Source organism: Homo sapiens, chromosome 1 (genome assembly GCF_000001405.40).
Source record: "Homo sapiens chromosome 1, GRCh38.p14 Primary Assembly".
Taxonomy (NCBI): Eukaryota; Metazoa; Chordata; class Mammalia; order Primates; family Hominidae; genus Homo; species Homo sapiens.
The window spans coordinates 42,456,055-42,475,200 of NC_000001.11; the positions used below are offsets into that span (position 1 = coordinate 42,456,055).

The window sequence follows — 19,146 nt, forward strand, 5'->3', positions numbered from 1 at the left end:
CCGGCGTCACGTGACGATCGCGGGGCTGCGTACTTGCCAGCATTTCAAGGGCAGAGGGCGGCGGGACGTGACTCGACTAACATCTGGGTGTATTGCTGAAGTTGGAAAAGGGGAAGAAAGAAAGAAAAAGCAGCACAAAACCCACAAGTCCCACGGGTCAAATGGCCGAGAAACGACTCCCAAGGAGTCCAAGTCCAGAAAGGCCCGTACAGTGGCCGGTAAGGGTCAAACATGGCCAGTTCTTCACCCAGGCTAGGAAACGAACGTGAGGGAACGTGACCCTACCAGATGCCCACCCAGCCGGGGATCCCCCTCGTTGCAGTGTCACTTTCGCTGGGCTCTGGGGCAGAACAACTACGCATTTCCAGACTTGGCGAGATCGGGACCTAGTGTCAAAAGAAGGGTAGTGAACCGCCCACTCAGTACGGCGCGGCGCGTACACCAGGTAGGCGAGAAGGGGCGTGGCGCGGCGGCCGCGAAACGTGCGCAGGCGCCGGCCGCTGCGCTGCAGATGGCGGAAATGGATCCGGTAGCCGAGTTCCCCCAGCCTCCCGGTGCTGCGCGCTGGGCTGAGGTTATGGCTCGCTTCGCGGCCAGGCTGGGCGCGCAGGGCCGGCGGGTGGTGTTGGTTACGTCAGGCGGCACCAAGGTCCCACTGGAAGCGCGGCCGGTGCGCTTCCTGGACAACTTCAGCAGCGGGCGGCGCGGTGCAACCTCGGCCGAGGCCTTCCTAGCCGCCGGCTACGGGGTCCTGTTCTTGTATCGCGCTCGCTCTGCCTTCCCCTATGCCCACCGCTTCCCACCCCAGACTTGGCTGTCCGCTCTGCGGCCTTCGGGCCCAGCCCTTTCGGGCTTGCTGAGCCTGGAGGCCGAGGAGAATGCACTTCCGGGTTTTGCTGAGGCTCTGAGGAGCTACCAGGAGGCTGCGGCTGCAGGCACCTTCCTGGCAGTAGAGTTCACCACTTTGGCGGACTATTTGCATCTGTTGCAGGCTGCGGCCCAGGCACTCAATCCGCTAGGTGCGTGCCCTAGGAGTACCCCTTTTGCCTGGAAGCACAGCCTTTCTTTCCAGCCACTTATCCCCTTACCTCCTGCTTACCCACGGATCTCAGCTGGGGAACCCGAGTTGAGAAGGAGCTGATCCTATATCGTACCTCGCCGATTTGTTAACACCTTGTGTTTCTCTTTGCAGGCCCTTCTGCGATGTTTTACCTGGCTGCGGCTGTGTCAGATTTCTATGTTCCTGTCTCTGAAATGCCTGAACACAAGATCCAGTCATCTGGGGGCCCACTGCAGGTGATGGGCGCTTCTCTTCCAGAGATCTAATCCCATATAACCAATCTTGGGTTAATTTCCTCTTGATCTGGAGATGGCCTTTCTGCATCTGTATTCGCTAGGCACAGGGGATACAGAGATGAATAAGACACCGCCCTCCCTCATGGACCTCACAATCTAGTGAGGGAGCTGGACACAGACATAATTACAATACAGAGTGATAAATGCTCTAGTGGAGGTATGTACAAAGTGCAGTCAGATCATGGGGCGAGTGAATCCTGGGGGAGTCGATGAAGCTTCTTGGAGGAGATGAATTGAACTGGGTTTTAAAAGATGAGCAGAACCGAGCGCGGTGGCTCACGCCTGTAATCCCAGCACTTTGGGAGGCCAAGGAGGGCAGATCGCCTGAGGTCAGGAGTTCGAGACCAGCCTGGCCAACATGGTGAAACCCCGTCTCTACTAAAAAAATACAAAAATTAGCCGGGCGTGGTGGCAGGCGCCTGTAATCCCAGCTACTCGGGAGGCTGAGGCAGAAGAATCGCTTGAAACCAGGAGGCGGAGGTTGCAGTGAGCTGAGATCTCGCCATTGCACTCCAGCCCGGGCGACGAGAGCGATACTCCGTCGCAAAAAAAAAAAAAAACACCAAAAATCAAAACAAAATGAGCAGAGGGTGTACGAAGTGGGAAAGGTCATTCCAGGTGGAGTATGGCAGTAGGAATTTGAAAGTGGGCAGTGGGCTGTGAACCGAAGTGCTTTGGTAAGGCTGGAGAGCTGACTGAAGAGATGGCTTGCTTTGTAGAAGACTTTATTTTCCTTTTTTAAGGAGCTTGGACTTTTTCTTGTGGAGCTAAGGGACACATAAGTAGGAGAATGAGATAAAGTTTTTGTTTGAGAACAACATTCTGGCATCAGTATGAAAGACGAAGTAGAGAAGGAGAAAGTGGAGTGGGTAGATTAGTTGGGGGCTATTGTAGGTTAAGGAAGAAATATGGATAAGGTAGGTGTGGTTGTGATTTTAGATTTTTGGAACCTTCAGGAGTTCTTAGTCATTTATTGGGTGATACAGGTAGGATTTTATTAGGAGAAACTCTTATCTGTGGGGCATTTGCCGACTTTGTAGAATAGTTTATTGAGGTCCTACACTGCTGTAGGACTTAGAGATGAAAGCAGTGAAAAGAAACATACCCTGCCTTTGTGTTGCTTCCTCTGCAGAGGAGACAATAAATAAGTCAAATACATAACTCGTTTAGTAGTGATAAATGCTAAGGAGAAAAATAAAGTATAAATAAACTGGTATATGATCCCTATCACACTAACAGCTTTTTTTTAGGGCAAAGTCTGATGATTAGCTTAGTGATTTCACGCTTTTTAATCTCTGGGATCTTTAGTTTATCCCACAGTTTTTAGTTCTATCTTGAAAGTAACAAAGCAACTGAACATTACCCTGAGAAGGGATTGGGGATGAGGTACTAGGAGTTTTGGTCAAGTGAAAATAAAATCAGTTTCCTCACTGCTAAGTTGTGTTACATGTGACAATTTAAAAATGGAATCTAATAGCCATTCTACCAATGCAAGAAATATTTTAGGCTGAGAGGTTTAAAAACCCAACTTTATTTAGGCTTCTGCCAAATATTTGTATGAACAGATTATTTGTATCTGTTTATTTGAGGGTTTGGTTCAAAAATAAAGGGACATGCTTGAGAAAATATTAATGGTGGTAAGGTTGGCAGAGCATGGCAGGGCTTATTCAGAAGGCATGGTTTGCCCCAGAATATGTATGGAGCCTTGAATTTAGGCATCGCTGTGAACTCTACAGAGCCAAGGCTTTTTTTTTTTTTTTTTTTTTTTGTGAGACAAGGTGTCGCTCTGTTGCCCAGGCTGAAGTGCAGTGGCATGAACACAGCTCACTGCAGCCTCAACCTTCCAGGCTCAAGTGATCTTCCCATCTCAGCCTCCTGAGTAGCTGGGACTACAGGTGGGTGCCACCATGCTTGGCTAATTTTTGTATTTTTTTGTAGAGACATGGTTTTGCCATGTTGCCCAGGCTGGTCTTGAACTGGGCTCAAGCGATCCACCCATCCTGGCCTTCCAAAGTGCTGGGATTACAGGCCAAGCCACTGTGTTCCCCTAAGACTTTTTAAACTAAACATTTAACTGAAAAGTTTGATGGTTGAGAAATCCCACTTAAATTTAATTCCTTAGTTTCCCATGAGATTGACCTGGTAGGTAATGACCATTGTTTGCTTATTAAGCTTTTCTTTTTCCAATACAGATAACAATGAAGATGGTGCCAAAACTGCTTTCTCCTTTGGTTAAAGATTGGGCTCCCAAAGCATTTATAATTTCCTTTAAGTTGGAGACTGACCCCGCCATTGTAATTAATCGAGCTCGGAAGGCTTTGGAAATTTATCAGCATCAAGTGGTGGTGGCTAATATCCTTGAGTCACGACAGTCCTTTGTGTTTATTGTAACCAAAGACTCGGAAACCAAGTTATTGCTATCAGAGGAAGAAATAGAAAAAGGCGTAGAGATAGAAGAGAAGATAGTGGATAATCTTCAGTCTCGACACACAGCTTTTATAGGTGACAGAAACTGAAGTAAAAAGCCCTTATAGGATCAAAAATTGTTCAGGGCTCTTAGAGATGGTGAAAACTACAAAAAAAACCATGGCTTTCATATGGACAGATAAAATGAAAGAAAGGGAAAAGGCAGTGGTGTGTAGGCAAATATGGTTTGGCATTTGTCTTTTAATGACACCTGATATGATGTCATTTTGATTTTGAAATTGAACACTAGAACTGTTAATCACCTTTAAAAAGAAGAGCTTATTGGGAATTATATATTCCTTAAAATATACATGGGGGCCTGAATGTCAGCCATCTTTATACTATAGAAAAAGGATTATGGATGCATGAATGGTCATGCTTTGGAGATCAAATATTGGTTGAATGCCTATGTATGTCAGGCCCTGTGCTGAGCCATGAGGATTAAAAAGATGAATAAACATATCTTGTTTAGGAAATGGATGTATAAAAAAATCAAGTGCAATAAAGTGTGTGTCCAAAAGCTGACACAATGGAAAGGATGTTTTGTTTTGTTTGAAATTTATCAAATATAGTAGTAGGAAAGAAGGATACCTCCCTGAAGATAGATTGTAGAATGGTGAGCTTTTCACTGCATTTACTTTTTGCTTCTTATTGTAGATTCACCTCATGTTTGGGTAATAGTTTACATTTCAAGTATTTTAGGACTGCTTTTCAGTTTAACTTAATATGTCCTTCCACCTGGGACCAGGCAGGGGCCACTTGGTGATCTCTGTCCTGAGGGATGCATTACAGTGTGGTAGAGTATGGGCTAGAAGTCAACTTAGCCAGCTGTGCCACCTATTAGCTTTATAAACTTAGGCATTTGACTTAATCTCAGTGTCCACATGCATAAAATGAGGATAATCTCTCTGCAAAGTAATGCCATTTATTGTGAGGATCAAATGAAATAGCAAAAAGAAAGCATCAGTCTGGTGCCTAGCATTTGATTCACACTCACTAAATGGTTGCAATTATTGTTTTTCTCACTTAGCAAAGCAGTGTTACACCACTGCCCTGCTTAATCTTTGAATCCTTGAGAATCTTTGAAAAACTTTCAATACTTCTCTTGCTGTCCTACGTTTTGGGTTTGGAGTGCACAAGTAGCATAGTGCAAAAAAATTCCCTAAATGATCTGTAGGATAGTCCAGGTGCAATTTGAAAAATTAGCATTGATGACTAAGGTAGAAGCAGGTACTGTGTTTCACATAAATATTTGACTTAAAATACAATTCATGGTGTTTCATGGAGTAGGGAAGGGTAGCCCCTGTGTCTGTCTGATAATAGAAGTACAATAAATTTAATTGAGAAGATTTGACAGAAATTCTAAGACTGAAATACTTCATTAATCAGGAAATGTGACCTTGAACAGAGGAAAAATACTGCAGCAGTCAAGACTGTTCTGGAAGCAGCAGTCCCTTTGAACAAAAAAATTTTCTTAGAGACAAGGTCATGCTTAGTCACCCAGGTTGGAGTGCAGTGGTCCAATCATGGTTCACTGTAATCTTGAACTCCTGGACTCAAGCACTCCTACTGCCACAGCCTTCTGAGCAGCTGAGACTACAGGTGTGTGCCACCATGCCTGGCTAAATATTTTATTTTTCATAGAGACAAGGTCTTACTATGTTACCCAGGCTCTTTTTTTTTTTTTTTGAGCGGAGTCTTGCTCTGTCGTCCTGGGTGGAGTGCAGTGGCACAATCTCGGCTCACTGCAAGCTCTGCCTCCCGGGTTCACACCATTCTCCTTCCTCAGCCTCCCTAGTAGCTGGGACTACAGGCGCCCGCCACCACGCCCAGCTAATTTTTGCATTTTTAGTAGAGATGGGGTTTCACCTTGTTAGCCAGGATGTTCTCCATCTCCTGACCTCGTGATCTGCCCGCCCCGGCCTTCCAAAGTGCTGGCATTACAAGCGTGAGCCACCGCGCCCAGCCACCCAGGCTCCTTTGACAATGATTTTAAGTGAACTTCAGGTCCAATTTGCAAAACCCCAAAAGCAGTGGGCTCTGTCAGTGGCTGCAGTACTGAAGGGCAAGAAGTAGAATATGTTCTTCTCTGCATTCATAGCTTTATGTGGATGATGACTGTCATCTTTGAATGTACAATGGGGATATATGGGGTTAAAAGTAGAAGTGATCTTAATGTTTGTCTTTACCATAATTATTACCTCCCTTGGGAATTTTATATCCTGTCTTGTTAACGCTTAAAAACAATCAGTGTTCTACATGAAATTATTTAGTGTTTTCCACTTCAGTTTAATTTATATTCAGAGCACTTAGATTATTTACACAAGTAAAAATTCCAGGGGGGTGGGGGAGAGTGTGTGTGTGTGTTTTAATAGCAAATGGAAGTGTATAAAGAAAAGGAACATGAGTCAATGAGGGTAACTAAGAACCTGATCTTGGATGGAGGATCAAGGAATGTCTCCCTGAGTAGGTGATACTTAAACTGATAAACAGGAGTGAAGTGGGCTACAAGTGCTGGTGGTGAGCCTTTTAGTTCAGAAAAAAACACTTGCAAGAGGTCTAGTGCCAGAAGGAGAGGTTGAGGCACTTTATTATATAAAGAGTAAAATACGTCCGGATAATGCATGTAGAACCAGCAAAAATTTGTGAAGTATTCTCTTGGGGAACTAGAGTAAGACCAAGAAATGTTGTGTTTGGGATACCAGCAAAGCAAGGGCCCCCAAAACATGACTAAAATCGAGTTTGATAATTAACTAGAATTTTGCAATAAGAGCATCTAAAAAGATGATATAAATTGAGTATGTTAAATTTTGTGTCATTTATAAGTTTTTATTTTGCATTACATAGGTGGGGAAGATAACGTTCATCTTACCTGAATTTTCAGTGCTTAGGACTTCTAAAGGGCTTCAGCCTTAGGGACAATTCTAGTCAAGCCCAGTTTCTTCCTTTTTACAATAATAAGCTGGATCCAAAAATTGTGATTTATCTTACGTGCCCCACGTGGCTAGTGACACGATCTAGGCCTAAAATTCAGAGCTCTTGAGCTAGCACTTCCTGCCCCTTTAAGAATGAAGGAACTTGTAGAAAAATAAATCCAAGGTTAGTAGGCAGGGGCTCCAGCTGAGTCCTGGCGGGAAGTTCTTTGAGAGCTAGAACGCCCCAAGACAAAATGTATTCGCTAAGTCGCAAACGCTCGACATGTTACCATGGTTACAGCTGTCTCCAAAGCCAATGGAATGAGTTGTACTATCGATACGGCCGGGACAACTCCGCCCCCGACCCGAAGGCCAATGGTGTGAGACATAATAACAGTCTCCACAAGAACCACAGTCTCTGGTTCCACTGGCGTGCGTCGTCTCTATGGTTCCCGCCGGAAGGACGCGTCTGCGTCTCTGCGGCGAGCGCGGTTGCTATGACGCCCAGGTCTCCGTAGGCACCTGCAGCTAGCAGCTGAGCGCGTAGGGGCCGAGCGACCCCGGGACGCTCGCGGCACCCTCCGCAGGAAAATTTCCGACTTGGTTCTTGAGGTTCCTGCCTCAGCCCCAAGGAGGAAAGCACCCATTCTCCCCTCTTTTCCGCATTACGGGCCTTTTCTGCTTCTCCCCAGTATGGTCCGAAACTACAGGAGGGGAACCCCTCCTGGCCCGGCCTTTCTATTCCCTGGCTGGAGTGATTCCGCCTGAAGGAGAATTCGCCCGTTTTCCCCGGACCCAGCTGCCACAAGCATTTAGTATTAGGCTGCCGCTTATTATTAGAGCGGGCTTAGAACATCCTCAGCGAGGTAGGTCGGCGTTCCTTTTCTCACTTAAAGGTGAGGTGTCGAGACGCGCCCCTGGACAGACAACGCCCGAAGGTCCAGGCCACTACGAAGTCCACGGAGGGGCAGCTTTCCCCTACGTGTAGGCCCGCGAACAAAGAACTACCGTTTTCTGATTTTTTTTGGCCGATGTTCGTCATGCAGAACCTTGAATCCCGATGAAGATTTGGAGGCCTTTTGTATCCTCAACATCAGAGGTCATGAAGTCAGTTACCTTCTGCCTTTCAAGCTACAACTTTTTCCACTTCTCTCATCACTCCAAGCACCAGCTTTCTCATCCTGCTTATTTCACAGCCATTTTAACTTTTCCCTGTTCACGCTGCACATTATTGAATGTCCATTTGTCTGCACCACCTCTGTCATCTATAGACCACCTCCTTCTGCTTTCCTGCTACAATGCTTTGCGTACCTAAGTATTTCGCATTCTCCAGCTCTGCAGTCATTGGGAAGATTTTCTGTTTTTCTTTGCACTATGGCAACCTTTCAGTCTTGGGTAAACTAGAGACTAGGAGAAGTGCAAATTGGTAAATATAAACATTAAATACTGTAGGTCTAGTGTGTTTTGAAAATGGAAAAAAAAATCAAAATTGCAGTATTGGACCCATTTCAGGCTTACATAATGAAAGAAGGTTGTTCCTTGTTTCATTAAATTTTATTGATGTGTTTATCAATGTGAAAAGGGCATTCAAAGTGATCATGTAAGACAGGATTTCAACTTTAAGCCCATATGAACCCAACACTGGGGATATGATGTAATTTTCTGGAGAGGAGATGATTGAAATAGTACTTGTGCCTTCTTTTCCTGTCAATTTCTGAATCAGAAAACATTCTTTGTGATGTAAGCCAATAAATGAAAACAATAAGGAGTGATTGAAAATAAATATTTTTGGCAAGGGAGCAGACACAATTGTTCTAAAAAGGCTGGAACAGAGGGCCTTAAATATGGCATAAGATTAATTTAGATCCAGTGCAATTTTATTTTAGCTTGGAAAGCTTGACTTAATTTGTCTTACAATACGCATTCCTTGTTGAATCTTACTATTTCTTCTTCAGTATTCAGGTTTAAAAGTAAACCTATTTTGAGGACATACAGAACATACACATTTTAAACAGCTATTTGGGGCTACAATGATTTGGATATTTTGATTTCTCAGTCCAATAGAAGCAGTCGTTTGTGATGTCTCATGCTTAGAGCCAGGTCAAGTTTTTAAATACTGAGAAATTCAGCTTTCTCCTCTAGAATAGATCGGAAAACAAAAACAAGTTCTGCAGCCTTTTCAATCTTGCACATTAAATTGGAACTGGATAAAACCTAACTCTTGAAAAAAGTGTTAGATGCTATATTGTAAGGGGCTTTCCTTTCCTTTCCTCTTCTAATATGTATTTATTGAATAGCAAGGCATAAATTTAAAAACAATTTAACCTGGGCAAACATGGCAAAAACCTGACTCTACAAAAAATGCAAAAAATTAGCCAGGCATGGTGGAGCACTCCTGTAGCCTGGCTACTCTGGAGGCTGAGGTGGGAGGATCACTTGATCCTGGGAGATCGAGGCTGCAGTGAGCTATGATCGCACCACTGCGCTCCAACCTGGGCTACAGAGTGAGACCCTGTCTCAAAAAAAATAAATTCCTGTCATTCTAGGACAGTTTTTTTTGTTTTTGTTTTTGTTTTGTTTTGTTTTGTTTGAGACGGAATTTCACTCTTGTTGCCCAGGCTGTATTGCAATGGCGCGATCTTGGCCCACTGCAACCTCCGCCTCCCGGGTTCAAGTGATTCTCCTGCTTCAGCCTCCTGAGTAGCTGGGATTATAGGCATGTGCCACCACACCCTGCTAATTTTGTATTTTTAGTAGAGACGGGGTTTCTCCACGTTGGTCAGGCTGAGTCTTGAACTCCTGACCCCAGGTGATCCGCCCACCTCAGCCTCCCAAAGTGCTGGGATTACAAGTGTGAGCCACGGTACCCGACCTCTAGCACAGTTTTAAACCTGGGGAGTGGGGTGGGGTTTTGCCCCCTGTGAGACATTTGGCAATGTACGTAAGCATTTTTAGTTGTCACAACTAGGGATATGCTACTGACATATAGTTGGTAGAGATCAGGGATGCTGCTCCATATCTTAATATGCACAGAACTGCCTCCACAACAGCTCAGAATGTCAGTAGTGCCAGGGTTGAGAAACTCTGTCTTAACACATCAACAGTTCATTTTTTTGTTCTGTCACTCTTGCTTAGCTGTGTACATTTTTACATAGTTATGTACATTTTGCCTTTCTTTTTCACTTTATATTTTAAACATTTTTTACATTGCTACAGTGTTTTCAACTTTTGAAAAAAGTATACTAATTTTATTTGGGAATTGAAAAACTGTGCATAATATGTATTTTATTTAAGATGTGTGTGAGTTTTAAATTATATTTGTGTGAAAGGAGTGGAAAATAGAAGAAAGAAAGGTTACAGTGAAAAGTCACCTGACAGCATATTTCAGTTTTTGTGGCTGTGCTATGTACTTTGTTCCCTAGAGTCACTCAAAGACTTTGGAATCCAAAGCTCAGCCTTTGCTCAGAGGCAGGAGATGTGCTATGGCGTAAGATAGGGTCCTGGCCCCTGCAATGCAGTTGGAGAGTACCTACCAGGAGAAAAAACAAGGAGACTGCACCCATTCTCCTTGTCCTCTTCTCGTTTAAAATTCTTTGTCTCAGTTTGCTTTACCACCTTATTCTTTACATCTAGAAGTTTTTGGAGGCCTAAACCTACTTCAGGATGCACTTCTTTCCAGAGATTGGATTTTTAAGAGATTTAATGAGCATTTACTTAGTATCTACTTTGGACAGAATAGTTTTTTTGTTGTTGTTGTTTTGTTTTGTTTTTTTTTTTTGAGATGGAGCCTTGCTCTGTCGCCCAGGCTGGAGTGCAGTGTTGAGATCTCGGCTCACTGCAGCCTCTGCCTCCCGGGTTCCAGCGATTCTCCTGCCTCAGCCTCCTGGGTAGCTGGGATTACAGGCACCCGCCACCATGCCCGGCTAATTTTTGTATTTTTAGTAGAGATGAGGTTTCCCCATGTTGGCCAGGCCAGTCTTGAACTCCTGACCTCAGGTGATCCATCTGCCTCGGCCTCCCAAAGTGCTGGGATTACAGGCATGAGCCTCTGCGCCCGGCCAAGAATAGTATTCTTATGTACTTTGTTGTGTGGGCAATTTTAGGTACAGTTTAGATGTCAGAGCATTTATAATTTAGTTTTATTACTTCAAGATCTAGTTTACTAGAATTTAAAAGTTAATCATCAGGTCTCAATAAATCCACTGGGAAAATGTTTGTTTGGGGATCTCATAGCACCATTCCAGGTAGAGTGACCTGAATGTCAAAATTTGTGGAAATATAAGCAGCATGATAGGGACCAATAAGTATACTGACATGAATGGCTAATGTCAAGGTGCGGCAGAAGACAAGGCTAGAGAGACTGGGAGGAACCAGATTGTGAAGAATATCTGGTCCCAAGCTAAAGGGTTTGAACTCTACATGAAAGCAACAAGAAGGTTAAGCAGCAAGTGATTTGCATTCAGGAGGATCAGTCTGGAGTTTTGCTGAGAATGGATTGGATGAGGGCCAGCCTGGCAGCAGGAACATCAGTTAAGGTTGCTATTATACTAAATTGAACAAATAGTAGGCAAGCCTAAACTAAGGCAGTAACCCTAGACATGGAGAGGATGAATTAGAAAATGATGAAAGAAGTACTGCAAATTCAGTGACTGGTTGCATACCAGAGTAGAATGAATAGGAAGGAGGATCAAGGATGACTCCTGGGTTTCTGGCTTGGGAAACTATGTTGACAGTGATTTTAACTATGAAATAGAGAAGGAGGAGGGAAAGATGAATGGGTTGTTCAAGCTGAGTTGTTCACTAGAAAACTGGACACGCATTGGTCTTAAACAGTAGACTCATTTTATATTGCCCTCTTAGCTTATAGCCTCTTCTCTGGAACTTGGATCTGTCTGCCAAATCTTGCTTAAAGAGTAGGCCCTCAGAGGCCATATTTGTACCTCTACTTCCAACCCATTCCATGTACAACTGACTGAATGGGGAAAATACAGGTAACTTTGGAGAGGGGGACACAGCCTATTTGGTGAGCAACAAACAATTGTCTCTTTCAAAAATTTGAACTAAGAGATACAAAGATAGAAATGGCTTAATCTAAAAAGTCACATTCGCTAAGGACTTGAATAGTTCTTTTCAGCCTTGCTGATGAGCAAGCAGAGGAAGTTTTTCTCTGTAGAGAAGCAAGAGGAGCAAACTCGCAGGGAAGCTCAGAGACAGAAGACCTCATGGGTCAGGAGAGACTGTTAATGGCTGTGTAGTTCTGTATCCAATTCCTGTGTAGCCACATTTAGTTTCCAGCATATGTCCTTGTACCTCATCCACTCAATAACCCTCATATAGTAGTTGGGATTAGCTGGTTGTGTGAGGGACAGAAAGCCCAAAATAATAATGCGTTGAAAAAGAAAGAAATGTATTCCTCCCACATAAAAGTCAAAAATAAAACAATCTATAACTGGTGGGGCAGCACCTTGAAATGGTCAGAGACCCAGATTTCTTCTCTCCTGATATTATAGCATCCATGGCATGTGGTTTCCAGCTTATGGTGCCCAGGATAGCTGCTCAAGCTTCAGCTATCTTGTCTGAATTCCAGCTAGTAGAAAGGAGTAAGGAGCAAGAAAGGGGGCATCACATTCCTTAAGGACAGTTTCTGGAAGCACCACATAATTCCATTTACACCCATTGGTCAGAACTTGGTCACCTGGCTGTATCTATCAGTAAGGAAGTCAGTCTTGTGATCAGTCAAAACACTAAATATCTTATTTCTGTGGAAGAAGGGAATAGTAAATATTAAAGGACACCAGCAGTCTCTGCCACACTCACCTGTATTTGTTCCAACTTCAATGTGTTTCTGTTTCTTGCCACTTCTTCTAGATTGATCTGGAGCATAGCAGAGAGAGATTCTTATTTAATCTTTCAAACAACAGAGTGAGGTAGGCATTACTATTACATTTATTCTACAGACAGAATAAAAATTTAAAGAAGTTACCTGACTTGTGTAAGTCACACAATTACAAAGTAGCGAAGCCAAGGTTTGAGCCAAGGTATATTAGACTCCTGTGCCCAAGCTATTAATCACATGGTAGTGAGAAGGGCAGAGAGCTAAAGGCAGGGTTTTCCTGGAAATGGCAGCATTTGAAGGGATGGAAGAGGAGGAACCCAGGAAGCATACTGAGAAGGAAAGGCTAGAGACATAGGAGTCAAAACAGGAGAAAGTGACATCACAGAACAGAATTAAAAAAAAAAAAACTTTCAGGGAAGGAGTGAAGACGTACAGCAAAGAGATCATATGTTAAAACAAACAAAAACAGGGCCAGACACAGTGGCTCACGCCTGTAATCCCAGCACTTTGAGAGGCTGAAATGGGAGGATCACTTGAGCCCCGGTGTTCAATTCCAGCCTGGGCAACATATAAGACCCTCGTCTCTAAAAAAATAATTTTAAAAATAAGATGGGCATGTTGGCACATTTCTGTAGTCCTAGCTCCTCATGAGGCTGAGTCAGGAGGATCACTAGAGCGCAGGAGTTTGAAACTGTAGTGAGCTATGGATATGGCATTTTGAGTTCATTGTTGACTGATAATTTGAGTACAATGGTAAGAGCAGAAGGCAAAATGCAGCAAGTGTAAGAGTGTGGAAGCCAAGCACAGAAGCCACAGTATAGGAGTGTGGGAGACAAATTGTCCAAAACAGGACAGTAGCTAGAGAGGTATATGGTGGGGCTAAAGGAAGGTTATTTCTTGTATCTTTAAGACCAGAGATGTCTTGAGCTGAGGACAAGAGAACAGTAGAAAAGGAGATAAGGAACATACAGAAAAGAAAATGCTTCCCTAAGGAAGCAGTATGGGATGGGGCCTAGAATACAGGTAAAGGGATTAACCTTGATCAGGAGGATGGGAAGCTCTTCCACTGAGAAGGGAAAGAGGACAAGATTGGTAAAGATGAAGGTTGGTATGTTGATGAGGAGAAGCAACTGACTGTTTTATGATGACCTTTGTTTTACTAGTTCTCTGGGAGACAAGGTCATTTGCCAAGAGTGAGGGGAGAGATGAGATATTCAGTTTGATGGGAGAGGTAAAAGTTTTGAATAGTTGCTGAGTGAAATAGTAACAGAAACTAGCAACTCATAAATGACCCAGCGGTTGAGAAGCTTGGCTCAGACCAGAGGCCATGAATTTGTAATGGTTCAGATTTGCATGCCTGTTTGATTTTGTTCTCTATCGGCACTCAGCAACCTAAAATAGGTGGATAATAGTCAAATGCATGAACTTTTACAGGGCTGAGATTTGCAAGGAAGGTGGGACAAAGGGGTAAGATAACTGGGGATGTTGGTGAAGGATTGAAATGATCAACAGTTGGGTTTAGGCTTGAGGGGCAAACAAGTGAAGCCAAAGAGTATCTGGTAGTTTGAGAGAGGATGTAATGGTCCAGAGATTGGAGGTCTCACTGTAATTGTAGAATTCTTTTAGTTTAAGAGAGCAACTGCTTCACACCCATTAGGATGGCTATTTTTTTTTTAAAGTAACCCAAAGTAAGTGTTGACAAGGATGTGAAGATATTAAGACCTGCATTGCTGGTAGGAACGTAAAATGGTGCAGCTGCAGTAGAAGACAGTAGGACAGTTCCTCAAAAAAAAAGTTAAACATAGAATTATATATCTAACAATTCCACTCCTACGTATATACCCCAAAGAATTGAAAACAGGGATTCAAATACTTTTACACCAGTGTTCATAGCAGCATCATTCACAATAGTTGAAAGGTGGAAACAACTCCAATGTCCATCAACAGGTGAATGTATAAATAAAATGTGCTATGTACATACAATGGAATATTATTCAATCTTAAATGAAATTATGATTAGCGATACAACATGGATGAATCTTGAAGACATTATGCTGCATGAAATAAGCCAATACAAAAGGACAAATATTGTATGATTCCATTTCTATGAGTTGTATAAAATAGGCAGGTTTATAGAGACAGAAAGTAGAATAGAGATTCCCAGGGCCTGGGGGTGAGGGGAATGAGAAGTTATTGTTTAATGGGTATAGAGTTTCTGTTTGGCATAATGAAAAATTTCTGGAAATGATTGTGGTGATGGTTAGACAACATTGTGATTGTACTTCATCCCATGGAATTTTATTAAAAATGGTTAAAATGGTAAATTTTAAGTTATGTATATTTACAACAATTAAGAAAAAGGGGGAAGAAGCATAGAAGGTGTTAGAGGGAGACACATGGAGTTTAGGATGGCAGGGTTTCAACATTAGCTCAGGCTGTTGATAAGGACTCAGGTGTAGCCATGAGGATGGGCAGCTAAATAAAATGTGCATAAAGATCACTGGCTTTGGGAGAATGGTCAAGTGAAGGAGCTTGGGTGATTTGTGCACTTGAGTATTGACCTGAAGCCTGTACCGTCCTACTGATCAGCAAGGATCAGATCCAAAGGTATTTTCCAATATCCTGATCCCCTTTTCCTTTTAACATCCTCCAACCTTAGACTCCCCTACTCCACCCCTACAGCATGGGGATTATGCTGTTGGGCAAGCAACCCACAGTACAGGACTTATAATAATTTAAGCATTTATTTTCTAATTACCTCATCAGTTTATCACAACTGCTTTTAGCACTTTGAGGTATTTGCTTCCAGTCTTTTCTTTGTGTGTCTGGTGTTTACATAGTTATAATAATACTTTTGCATTGTGCTTTTTCTCTTAGCATTATCACATATTTCTTAGCATTTTTCCATATTGCCAAATAGTCCTCATAGGATGCTATGTATTCTTAGTATCTTGGGCTCTCTGCTACCCAGGACTAAAACCACAAATAACTGTATGATGCTCAAAGACCTTGTAGGGAGAAGGGGGAAGATATGAGTGGGGACCAGGTGAAGGAGGTCGGGGGAACAGAAGAAAATTTTTAGTTATATGTCATGAAGAGGACCTACAGAGGTGCAGGATTCAGACTTGGGTGTTTTTCATCAGTATGAGTATCAGCTGATAATTAAAACCATTTATCATCTATAAATACTGTTGATGTGGAAATGGTAAGACTCTAGAAAACTTAGCAATCAAGGAGAAAAATAATAAAAATATGGTTTTGCTTTTAAAAAGCAAAATAGTATATTTATGTGGACTGAAGTACAATAACAATTATGTCTGTCACTGCAATTTGGGTCAGATTAACTTGGTTAAAAGTTGTATTTGATTAGAACAGCAAGTCCTATTAATAGTTAGTGGTTTTAATCACTTGAGGTCAGGAGTTCGAGACGAGCCTGACCAACATGGTGAAACCTCGTCTCTACTAAAAATACAAAAATTAGCCAGGTGTGGTGGCACACACCTGTAATCCCAGCTACTCAGGAGGCTGAGGCAGGAGAATCACTTGAACCCAGGAGGCAGAGGTACAGTGAGCTGAGATCACACCACTGCACTCCAGCCTGGGCAACAGAGGTAGACTCCATCTCAAAGAAAAAAAAATAGTTAGTGGCTCTAGTAACACAGATATCACTTCATCGATCAGCAGATATTTATCTTTCATATACTGTCATACTGCAAACTGTTATGTCATGATTACTTGCAACCTAAAAAAATTGATATTGATAGCAGGCTTAGACCAAGAAGTTGCAGAAAAGAACTGAATTAATGAGAAGTCAACATAAATTATAAGACATATTCTGTGAGTAAAATAAATCCTGGATAGTATAGAATTAGGGGCCTCTCTAGCTTCCAGAGGAATCCTTTTATTTCTAAATATGCAATAAAAGGAACAAAGACTTCTTTGGACTTTAAAAAAGAAACAAGAGCCCTTTGGGAGACTTTTCAGATAAAAGTTGCAAACTTTAGAACAGACAGAAAAGCTTTTTTTTTTTCCATTGTACATAATTTTCATTAAGTATATCATGTCATTTGTTATTTTAGAAGATACACAGTTGTTCAAAGCTTACATTTTTCGGTATTACCAGCTGTTTCATTTAAGTGCTCATAACTAGATAACAACAGGAAAAGTAAAATATACATTGTAGAGAGTCTGACTCTAGTCATATATACATAGACTTCTTTATTCCTGCTTTCAGTTTTCCTCACATAGCAGCTTTGTATGTGTATTGCCAGCTATATTTTGTTCTTTAGAAATATCTTGGATTTTCCAAGATATATATACATACACATACATAAGTGTGATGAAGGTTCAGGTAGCTTACTAGCTTTCTATTGCTAGTACCCTAAAGACTAGTACTCTAATAAGGAGACTAAGGTGGCACCCACATAGATATCTTGCATCCTCAGTTGTGTGTGTGTGTGTGTTCATATACATATGCTTATTTCTTCTATCAAGGGAAAAGTTCAGTTAGAAGACATACTTCACCATCTTGAAAAAGAAGAAATCAATCCCCTTGCTACTACAGAAGAACAACTCTGTTTGGTGCTTATTCCAGCCAGCACAGTGAAGACAGGCTGAGGACTGCTACCACAGATGTAGAAGAGCTTATAGTGAAGCACATGGGTGAAACAAAAGAAGTGAGAACTAATAGCATAGAATTTTAAAGACACCTGTGATTTTGTTCATTGCCCTTCATTAAATTGACATATTAAAAACTAATGTTTGGCTATCACTGTATAGTTTGAAAAGCACCCACGTGTAGACCTTTTTTTTTTTCTAATGAAACATGGCAACAGTCTGTGTTGGTTTCCATTAAGACTCCATGTATAGGATGTTGCCCAGTGATGACTGGCTGAACATCTAAACAGGACTGCTCCAGGTAGCTTTCATTATCTTGGTAAAGTCATCCTTCTCTCAGGAGCTGACCTTCTAGGTGACTCTTTTTTTTGAAGGCTTGGAAACTAATGTCGGCATAGTATCAGTGGATCTGCTTCTCAAAGGTGGGCTTGTATTAACCAAAGTCATAGAGATGAGACACCTCCTTTTTAATTGACAATAAGAAATATAATTGCCAGAGGAACTAAACATGTATTTTTGGTGGCTGATGTATTCTCTTACAGGCACATTATGTGGGAAGCCAACTTTTAATTAGATGTTTACTTGGTGAACAAATGATTCTAACTTTTTATAGCATTGGCTGAGATAGCCAGGTTTCCACAATAGGGCTATCTATATCTACCCTCGTTTCTGGACCTCATATCCTAGGACCAGGCACCTAGTGCTTAGAGGAGTAGATAAAGCTATTTTTTTTTTGGCCCTATTGTTACTCTCTTGGATGTTTCCAATACTCATCAACATACTTTCTTTAAATGAACTAATGAATTATCTCAGGTTGCCTGGGAATCACTCTGCTATGTTTTCACATCTCAGCTTCACACAGGTAACATTTTTAAATTTAATTCTTAAAGGACAATCCAATCTCCAAATTCTAAAGAAGAATGCAGCTCCTTTAGAATGAAAAGCAGTATAGCATCATAGAGTGTGAACTTTAACATTAGGCAGATGGGGGTGAAAAGTTGCCTTTAGCATTATCTTTCTGTTTAACTCTGGGCAAGTTACTCAACTGCTTTGAGCTTGAAATTTCTGTCTGTAAGATAGAGATGTTAATAGCATCTTCAAAGGGATTTGTGAGATTTATACAGGTTAGTGTGTATAAATTACCCATGTACTTGGCACCTAGCAAGTGTTCAATAAATGATAGCTATTATCATTAGAAATGGATATTGTTCCTGCCATTTTAAAGAGGAAACGAAAGTTTGCCAGGAAGTGATAAAGTTGAACTGTGATTCCTATGTTCCTTCTATACTATTCATCTTTCTGTACATATTTTAAGGAGTTTTCCTATAGGCTTCCAAAGAATTCACCAAAATGCAATTCAGTTATTTCGGTAGTCTACTTCTAAGCACTTTGGCGTACTAAGAACTCAGTCTCTGGTTTCTACCCATCAGAGTATGAATTCTAGCTCCTCCCCTTATTCCCTATGTGACAAGGCAAGTCTCTTAGCCTCTCTAAGCCTGCTTCTTCACCTCCAAAGTGGGAGAATAATAGTCCCATGTGGTTGTGGAGACAATTAAATATTTGATGTACTTAATATAGTGCCTGGAGCATATTCGCTTTCTACCTGTTATTATGCACATAAAAGTAGCTTTTTGTGAAGCCGTTATATTAACTGCAAGCTTTTCAAAGAATACACAACAATTTTTAATGTAATCTCCTGTTAACATTTAATCATCTTAGCCATCAGTTTCAGCATAGCAGTATAAACCTAATTATTATGTAGATTTTTTTCTGTTCATGGATATCATGACCATATTTCCTAAACCACAGAGAGGGAAACTTGATTTAAAACCTGGTATGTTGATAGAAAAAAATATTAGAGATTGGGACTGTCCCAGAAATTTGTGGTTACATGTCATCATACCTATGGGAAACATAGTGTATGATAATGTAAGACAGCTGGAAGGGAGTTTAGAG

At 41.8% G+C, this 19,146-nt stretch overlaps 2 protein-coding genes across 18 annotated transcripts in view, besides 4 other annotated features; both read left to right on the top strand.

The window, feature by feature from the left end:
* Nucleotides 53–19,146, top strand: part of CCDC30 (coiled-coil domain containing 30) — a 201,084-nt gene continuing 181,990 nt past the window's right edge. For 5 of the 10 annotated variants that reach the window (NM_001395384.1, NM_001395517.1, NM_001395379.1 and 2 more), the window contains exon 1: nt 7,232–7,844. The gene's annotated coding sequence lies outside the window, so the exon portion shown is untranslated. Of the gene's footprint in view, nt 446–1,192; nt 1,297–7,231; nt 7,845–17,067; nt 17,250–19,146 lie in introns of those variants that run through there. The other 5 variants (NM_001395385.1, NM_001355227.2, NM_001355226.2 and 2 more) reach the window with 4 other exon arrangements.
* Nucleotides 90–319: an enhancer, noted in NCBI's record as "active region_892". NCBI's record gives its function as "activates an Ori minimal core promoter by ATAC-STARR-seq in GM12878 lymphoblastoid cells {active_cell/tissue: GM12878}" and the evidence as "EXISTENCE:reporter gene assay evidence [ECO:0000049][PMID:35858748]".
* Nucleotides 287–17,363, top strand: PPCS (phosphopantothenoylcysteine synthetase). 8 transcript variants are annotated; one of them, NM_001287507.1, is made up of 3 exons: nt 287–445; nt 1,193–1,513; nt 3,549–5,176. In NM_001287507.1, the coding sequence occupies exon 3, from the start codon at nt 3,555–3,557 to the stop codon at nt 3,870–3,872; it is 318 nt and encodes a 105-aa protein (NP_001274436.1). In that variant the 5' UTR covers nt 287–445; nt 1,193–1,513; nt 3,549–3,554; the 3' UTR covers nt 3,873–5,176. The 8 variants fall into 8 exon arrangements, with proteins under 8 accessions (NP_001274436.1, NP_001274435.1, NP_001274440.1 ...); NM_001287506.1 differs by having other exon boundaries at nt 1,193–1,296; NM_001287511.2 differs by lacking the exons at nt 287–445; nt 3,549–5,176 and adding exons at nt 489–1,019; nt 17,068–17,363 and having other exon boundaries at nt 1,193–1,296.
* Nucleotides 560–629: an enhancer, noted in NCBI's record as "active region_893". NCBI's record gives its function as "activates an Ori minimal core promoter by ATAC-STARR-seq in GM12878 lymphoblastoid cells {active_cell/tissue: GM12878}" and the evidence as "EXISTENCE:reporter gene assay evidence [ECO:0000049][PMID:35858748]".
* Nucleotides 720–839: an enhancer, noted in NCBI's record as "active region_894". NCBI's record gives its function as "activates an Ori minimal core promoter by ATAC-STARR-seq in GM12878 lymphoblastoid cells {active_cell/tissue: GM12878}" and the evidence as "EXISTENCE:reporter gene assay evidence [ECO:0000049][PMID:35858748]".
* Nucleotides 7,129–7,178: a silencer, noted in NCBI's record as "silent region_762". NCBI's record gives its function as "represses an Ori minimal core promoter by ATAC-STARR-seq in GM12878 lymphoblastoid cells {active_cell/tissue: GM12878}" and the evidence as "EXISTENCE:reporter gene assay evidence [ECO:0000049][PMID:35858748]".